This window comes from Homo sapiens, chromosome 4, assembly GCF_000001405.40.
Source record: "Homo sapiens chromosome 4, GRCh38.p14 Primary Assembly".
In the NCBI taxonomy this organism is placed as follows: Eukaryota; Metazoa; Chordata; class Mammalia; order Primates; family Hominidae; genus Homo; species Homo sapiens.
The window spans coordinates 165,177,446-165,185,388 of NC_000004.12; positions in this window are offsets into that span (position 1 = coordinate 165,177,446).

Consider the following 7,943-nt stretch of genomic DNA (forward strand, 5'->3'; position numbering starts at 1 on the left):
ACAGTGATTGCAGGTGAGGGCAAACACAGAGGTAGAATTTTTCCTGTGTAAGAATTAAAATCAGTGCTACTGTGCCCTACAGTATTATAATTTCCAAATTAGTCAGTGTTCATTAACACACCCTACTGAATTGGGAATTCAGTATTAAACACAGACTTGATTATGTTTTTCTAAAAGATCCCTAGACCAGACTCTGACTGATTGCCTGAAACAACATGATCTTTTAGACAACAACAACAAAAAGATAACTTGGGTTTTGACTGGTGACTTGCATGAGTTGGTGTGGTTTTTTAGGATTGCAGTGAGGAATAACTGTCTCAGGATGGTTTTGGAGTCTGACAACAGGAACTGCAGTCTTTTTTTAAATTATTATTATACTTTAAGTTTTAGGGTACATTGCAGCCTTCTTAAGAAGGGTGTGAAGCCTGGACAACACTTCCGTGGGTGAGAACACCTTTCCCTGACAAACAGGTCACTGTTCTCTTACACGGCTTCTTTTGCCTTTTGCATATCCTTCCTACCTATCCACCTCCCAACCCACTGCCAGCAGTTTTGTCATTACCTTTGTAGTCAGAAAGACACACAGAATCCACTGGACTTGTGCAAATGTATTTTAAGTTTATGTCTTCCAAAATGTAAAGCTCTTTGTTAGCAAAATTGTACAGATCAAGAATATTATTAGTCTGTCATTTTCTGGTGCTAAGCCATGGTTGTTGGCTGGAAACCCCCATACAGTTCTCAGTTTGCATAACACAAGTGGTTTAGAGTGTTTTTTGCTCCTTTTGAAGCAAAACTTCTGTTTTTAACAGGGGATTTCAAAATTCTTAGGCTAGCCTTTGGAAAGAGGGAGGAAAAGGAGCAACTACTTCTCATCTGTGATGGTTGATTTTGGGTGTCAACTTGACAGGAATATGGGATACTCAGCTAGTAAAGCATTATTGATTCTTAATGCTTCGGTAGGCACTGAGCTTGTTTTTCTTCTGCTGAGAGCCAAACCCAAGTAGGTTTGCTTTTGATTAGAATGATTAGGCTGCCCCAGGGGTGACTGGGAGGGTGTTTTCAGAAGAGACTGGCCTGTGAGTCAGTGGACTGAATGAGGGAATATCCACCCTCAATGTGACCAGGCAGCATCCAATCAGCTGGTGGTCCAGCTGAATAGAAAGGTGGAGGAATGGGCTGGATGTTGTGAGAGGCTGAGGCAGGAGGATTACTTGAGCCCAGGAGTTGGAGGCTACCCTGGGCAACATAGTAAGACCCCAATCTCTTTCTAAAAGAGGGGTTGGGGGAGGAAGGATGAATTCTTGCTCCCTCTCTTCCAGAGTTGGGATGCCCTTCTTTTCCTGTCTTTGGATGTTCAAACTCGAAGTTCTCTGGGACTCCAACTAACGGCCTCTCAGGCCTTCAGCGTCAGACTGAGAGTTACATCAGCTCTCTTGGTCCTAAGGCCTTCCAACTTACACTGAGCCATGATACCAGCTTCTCTGGTTTCCCAGCTTGCAGACAGCCTGTTGTGAGACTTCTCAGCCTCTATAAGTGAGCCAATTCCCTAATAAATCCCTTCTCATATACCTCTCTGTATGTGTCTGCTATCAGTTCTGTCTCTCTGCAGAATCCTGACTAAAACACCATCTGTGACTCCTTTCCCCTCATATAATTTTTTAAATAAGAGTTTTATTGAGATATAATTTACATATAATGAAATTCAGTCTTTTAAAGTGGGTGATTCAGTGATATTTAGTATATTCAGAGTTGTGCAACCACCACCACTATCTAATATGAGAACATTTTTATCAACCTAAAAAGTAATCTTGGCTGGGTGCGGTGGTTCATGCCTGCAATCCCAGCACTTTGGGAGGCCGAGGCGGGCAGATCCCCTGAGGTCAGGAGTTTGAGACCGGTCTGGCCAACATGGTGAAACCCCGTCTCTACCAAAAATACAAAAATTAGCTGGGCGTGGTAGTGGGTGCCTGTAATCCCAGCTACTGGGAGGCTGAGGAAGGAGAATCACTTGAACCTGGGAGGTGGAGGTTGCAGTGAGCCGAGATCGTGCCACTGCACTCCAGCCTGGGTGACAAGAGAGAAACTCTGACACACACACACACACACACACACACACACAGATATCTTATACCCATCTGCAGTCATTCCCTATTTCCCACTCTCCCCAGTCCCTGGCAATCACTAGTCTGCTTTTTGACTGTGGATTTGCCTGTTCTGATGTTTTATATAAATGGAATGTGTAGCCTTTTGTGACTGGCTTCTTTCATTAACATATGTTTTCAAGATTTTCATCCATGTTGTACCATGTGTCAGTACTTCATTCCTTTTTATTGCTGAATAATATTCCATTGTCTGGATATACCACATTTTGTTTATGTAGTCATCAGATGACAGACATTTAGGTTGTTACCAATTTTTGGCTATTATGAATAATGCTATGAACATTTGTGAACATGCTTTTACGTGGACATGTTTTCAATTCTCTTGGATATTCACCTGTGACTTCAAAGTTTCATTGTAATTAAACTATTGTTTAACAACGTCATGTAGACTGTTTCACTAAGGGTGAATTCATATGTGATAGTTGTTCCATTTTATAATACATAAAATATTTTCAGTTAATTGACTACGAACTTACTCTTCGAAGTTGGACTAAAAAATTGTGGGACTGAAGAATTAAATGTTGTGATACATTGTTTACAACTGAATTATAAATATAAAAATAATACTGAGTATCTTGAGTCGAAACCAGAAGCACATTAAAAGACTGATACTCCATGGCCAAGTAGGATTTATTCCAGGAATGTAAATATGGCTTTATAGCTTTAAAAAGCTATGAATATAATTCACCATATTAATAAGTCAAAAGAGAGAAACCATATGATCATCATAATAGATGCCAAACATGGATTTAATAAAATTTAGCATTCATTTTTTTAATTGGTACTCACTGGTTATAGCAAGCATTCATTTACTTTCTTTTTTCTTTTTTTGAGACAGAGTTTCGCTCCTGTTACCGAGGCTGGAGTGCAATGGCGTGATCTTGGGTCACTGTAACCTCCACCTCCCGGGTTTAAGCGATTCTCCTGCCTCAGCTGGGATTCCAGGCATGCGCCACCACACCCAGCTAATTTTATATTTTTAGTAGAGACAGGGTTCACCATGTTGACCAAGCTGGTCTCGAACTCCTCACCTTAGGTGATCAACCCACCTCAGCCTCCCAAGGTGCTGGGATTACAGGCGTGAGCCACCGAGCCTGGCCAGTTCAATGGTTTTTTTAAAACTCATTAACGTCAGGAATAAAATAGAGATGCCACTAATATATTAAGTGAAGGAATCAACTAAGAGCTGGAGTGGAGGCCACAAAAGGTTTATTTTTCAGGTGATTTTTGAACTATATATACAAAATTAATAGTCTGATTATACATAATAAAATTACCTAGTTTAGAAAACATATTGTCAGAAAACACACTAATTTATAATAGGAACTAAAATGTAACTGACATCAGAAAACCTTGACGAGAAGGGTTATGTAAACAAAATGATCAGGGCTGGGCTGGTGGCTCACTCCTATAATCCCAGAACTGTGCGAGGTCAAGGCAGGTTGATCACTTGAGGTGAGGAGTTCAAGACCAGGCTGGCCAACACGATGAAACCTCGTCTCCACTAAAAATACAAAAATTAGCCGGGTATGGTGGCACACGCCTGTAGTCCCAACTACTCAGGAGGCTGAGGCATGAGAATCTCTTGAACCCAGGAGGCGGAGGTTACAGTGAGCCAAGATTGCGCCATTGCACTCCAGCCTGGGTGAGGGAGTGAAATTCCATCTCAAAAAAAAAAAAAAAAAAAAAAAAAAGAAAATGATCAAATTTTACTGAGTTCTGTCGTCTGATTCCAAATACAATTAATCACTATTGTGGATATATTTATACATATTCACTTATATGATAAAGGTAAAATTTCAAAAAACATGGTAAAAAATTGATTACTCCGTAAGGGTTTTGGACAACAGGTCAGTTATCTGGGAAAAATAAAACAGATCAAGATTTCAACTCCCAAGCAGAATTGTGGTTATCAGGGGCCGGGGGTGGGGTAGAGTGGGGAGCCCTTGGTCCAGGGATACAAAATTTCAGTTAGACTGGAGAAATAAATTCAAGAGTTCTATTGTACAATATGTAGCTATAGTTAATAACAATGTATTATATACTTGAAAATTGCTAAGAAAGTAGATTTTAAGTGTTCTCACCACACACAAAATAATGATAAGTATGTGAGGTAATGCTAATTAGCTAGATTAAGCCATTTCACAAAATATACATATTTTACAACATCAGGTTGTACACCATAAATATATATATATTTAGTTCTCAATTAAAAAAAGATTTCAACTCCTTACACACAAATGTCTTCTAGATGGATCATGGATGCAAGTGTGACTGATGAAATGTCAGAAGTGCTAAAAGAAAAATAATGGATATTTTTCCTTTAAGGGATGGCAGGCCTTTTAAAACAATATTACAAAAATTCAGGAACCAAAAAGAATAAAATTGATAACTTTGACATTTTAAAGTTCTGTGTTGCAAACGATCAAACAAAAAACAAACTCACAACTCACACTATAAAGAAGGAAGAGAGAGAGGACAAATTGAGAAATGTTTTTGCAGCATGATCTATAACAAAGGGCTGAAAATAAAAATATATCTTACATACAAGGAAGAACAAACAAAAGAAAAATGACAAAAGATAATGGACAGAAAATTTATAAAAAGAAGATATCCAAATGACCAATACATATATTAGATGGTCTAGTTTATTAGAAACCAAAGACCAGTCAAACAATATTAAAACCATCGTTGAAATACTTTTTTTTTTGTCCAATTGTTAAATATTTTAAAAGATAGTAACATTCAGAGTTGGAGATGATTTCAGGAAATGGATACTCTCATATCCTATTGGTGTAAATGTAAATTAATATAATACTTCTAGAGTACAGTTTGGCAATATGCATAAAAATAACCCAAACTGCCACATATAGGAATTAATACAAAAGGAATAACTGAAAACATGAGAACAGCTGGAACCATAAGGATACTCACTGTGGCTTTGTTCATAATAGAAATTCAGAATCAGCCCAGATAATTAAGTAAATTATGGTACATGCATTCAGTAGAACACACTGCAGCCTGTAAAAGAGAAAAGTAGCTCTGTACTGATAGGTATGGAAAGATGTCTGGGACAAATGGTGGACTGAAAGGAAGCATGTTTCAGAACAGCAAGTGCAGTATGATTTCATTTATGTGAAACTGTGTTTGTCTATAAACGTGTGTATTTGCACAGAGAAATGTCTAGAGGATATTCACCACACTGATATCAAGCTTTCTCTATGGTGATGAATTTTAGGTATATGTTTACTTTCTTTTCTGTACTTTTCTGTTATGTGAGATTTTGTTTACATTGAGCACGCATTATATTTAAAAACAGTAAGTTGGTTTTAATATATTGCCCTACATGTGGCTCCTTTTCAACATGGCAGTGCATGTGTTAGCAGTCTTGTACAGACATGAGAGCAGTGACCATGTCAACAGTATTTCTACCCTAAAAGCACACTTAGTCCTAAAGGAATACGTAAAAACAGCTTGGTGGCTAGAGGAAATACTGGAAGGTACATAGTACACTGGAAAAAAAAGGTGGTTCATATACACTCAGATAACTCCATTTCCCAAAATGTGGCCTCGAAGAGTTCAAGTAGCATTCACGTATCCCTTTTTAGAAATTATTTATTTATTTATTTAGAATAGAGATGGTGTTTTGCCATGCTGGTCAGGGTAGTCTCGCACTCCTGGCCTCAAGCAATCCTCCTGTCTTGACCTCACAAAGTTCTGGGATTATAGGCATAAGCCACCATGCCTGGCTTCATGTATCCCTTTGAAACATTCTACCACCAAAATATCACATTTATATTCAAAAGTGACATTCAGTGTTCAGAAACTTAAATTTTTTCAATTTGCAGACATTCTTGTGGCGAAATATTAAAAAGTAATATATCACAAGACCAGAAAAGGCATTACTGTAAAGCATCATTGACTCCCATGAAAGAAACATATCTGCAGCCAGAAGCCAAAGAACAGTATTATGGCAAGGCCAAGTTCATTGCACATCATTGCCAGAAACGTATTTCTGGCAAAGAAACAAGAATTGGTAATTGAACTACCAAATATATTTCAAGAGGTTATTATGTTCCAGAGAGAATTGAATACATTTAGAAGTAGATTTCGTCTGATTTTCCCTGACCTGAAGCATGTCTGAATGCCAACATCTATTAGGCAAGATCTCCATAATATTGAATGCAATAGAAGTCCTTTATATTTCTTATAAATTTTTACATATGCTTACTTAGGAGGGTTTTTTTTTTTTTGTATAACGATGTCAACAGACATCCTCTAAAGAAAATTTTGTCTTTACTAAGTTTCCTTGAAACCATATACAGTCAATAAATTTGTTATTGTATTAAAACATGATTGAGAAATTTTAGACCCTGTCATCTTGAATTATATTTCTACCTGCAGCACTGTAACACTGTTTAGCTTGAACAAACTTCTTTATTTCTAGATTCTGTCAGCCAAATTAAAAAAAATTTTTAAAAAGATAACATTACTGTACTCCACAGGGAGCAGTAGGGTTTATGATGAGATAATATTGATAATTTATTTTGATCAAAAAGAAAAAAATACTATGAATAAACTTATTGTATATTGATAACTAAAAGGAAAAATATAGTTCCACAATGAAAAACATGTGTAAATTTAAATATTTTCAATATTTCATGTTCATAGATGAATCCTAGCTCAGTGCCTTGCCAAGGAAGATTAAAAAAAAATTCAGTTTTAGAAAGCTCAAAGTTCCCAAAGTCAGAGAAATGCGAACAGAGTCAAGCTTACTCCATTGTTCCAATTTGTTCAGCTTTATCCATTAGGCTGTCACTAACTTCCGGCTTTTATTTTTTTTTCCCAGTAATGTGCGTAGGCCAATTTAGTACGAAAGCTACAGTGCAGAACCACATATTTTGAATAAGAGATTGAAAACAGAAAATTTGTTTCAATTAGTCAAACAGCTCTCTAAATTTTCTTTAGCATGGATGGAAGCACAAGGATTACCATGGGCTGCTAGTTTTTATTAGAATCTAAAGTCATTATTGTAAAGTTCTAGTATCAACTTAGAACTTAAACATTTTCCCCAGGGACCAGCTACATCCCTATTTATAGCCCAAACTCTTGGTTTAATGCAATTTAGAATATCTACAACAACCACAACTTTTCTTTAGGGTTTCTTTCTCAATTTTGACAGTTCACTAGTCAAGCTCCAAAGAACTGTACAGTTAGTTGGACTGGTGATTCTCAAAGTGGGCCATGTTGGAAAATGGAGAGTCAAACCCCTCCACTCCTCAGGATGGATGAGAGGAAAATAATTCAACATTATATTTTTATGTTTTTGAAGGAAACACTTTGATTTTTGTAATAAAACTATAGAAAGCAAAACTTCAGGGAAAAACTACATATATATGTTGAAAATGATTGAGAAGCACTAGCAAATACTGATAACTACTGTAAAGGAAGGAGAATGTAAAAGAACTGGTCATTTAGATGGAAGCAGAGGAAAATTTTCGGCTGGGCACGATGGCTTACGCCTGTAATCCCAGCATTTTGGGAGGCGGAGGTGGGTGGATCACGAGGTCAGGAGTCCAAGACTAGCCTGACCAACATGGTAAAACCCCGCCTGTACCAAAAATACAAAAAATTAGCTGGGCATGGTGGCATGCGCCTATAGTCCCAGCTACTCAGGAGGCTGCGGCAGGAGAATCGCTTGAACCTGGGAGGCGGAGGTTGCAGTGAGCTGAGATCACACCACTGCACCACAGCCTGGCTACAGAGTGAGGCTCTGTCTCA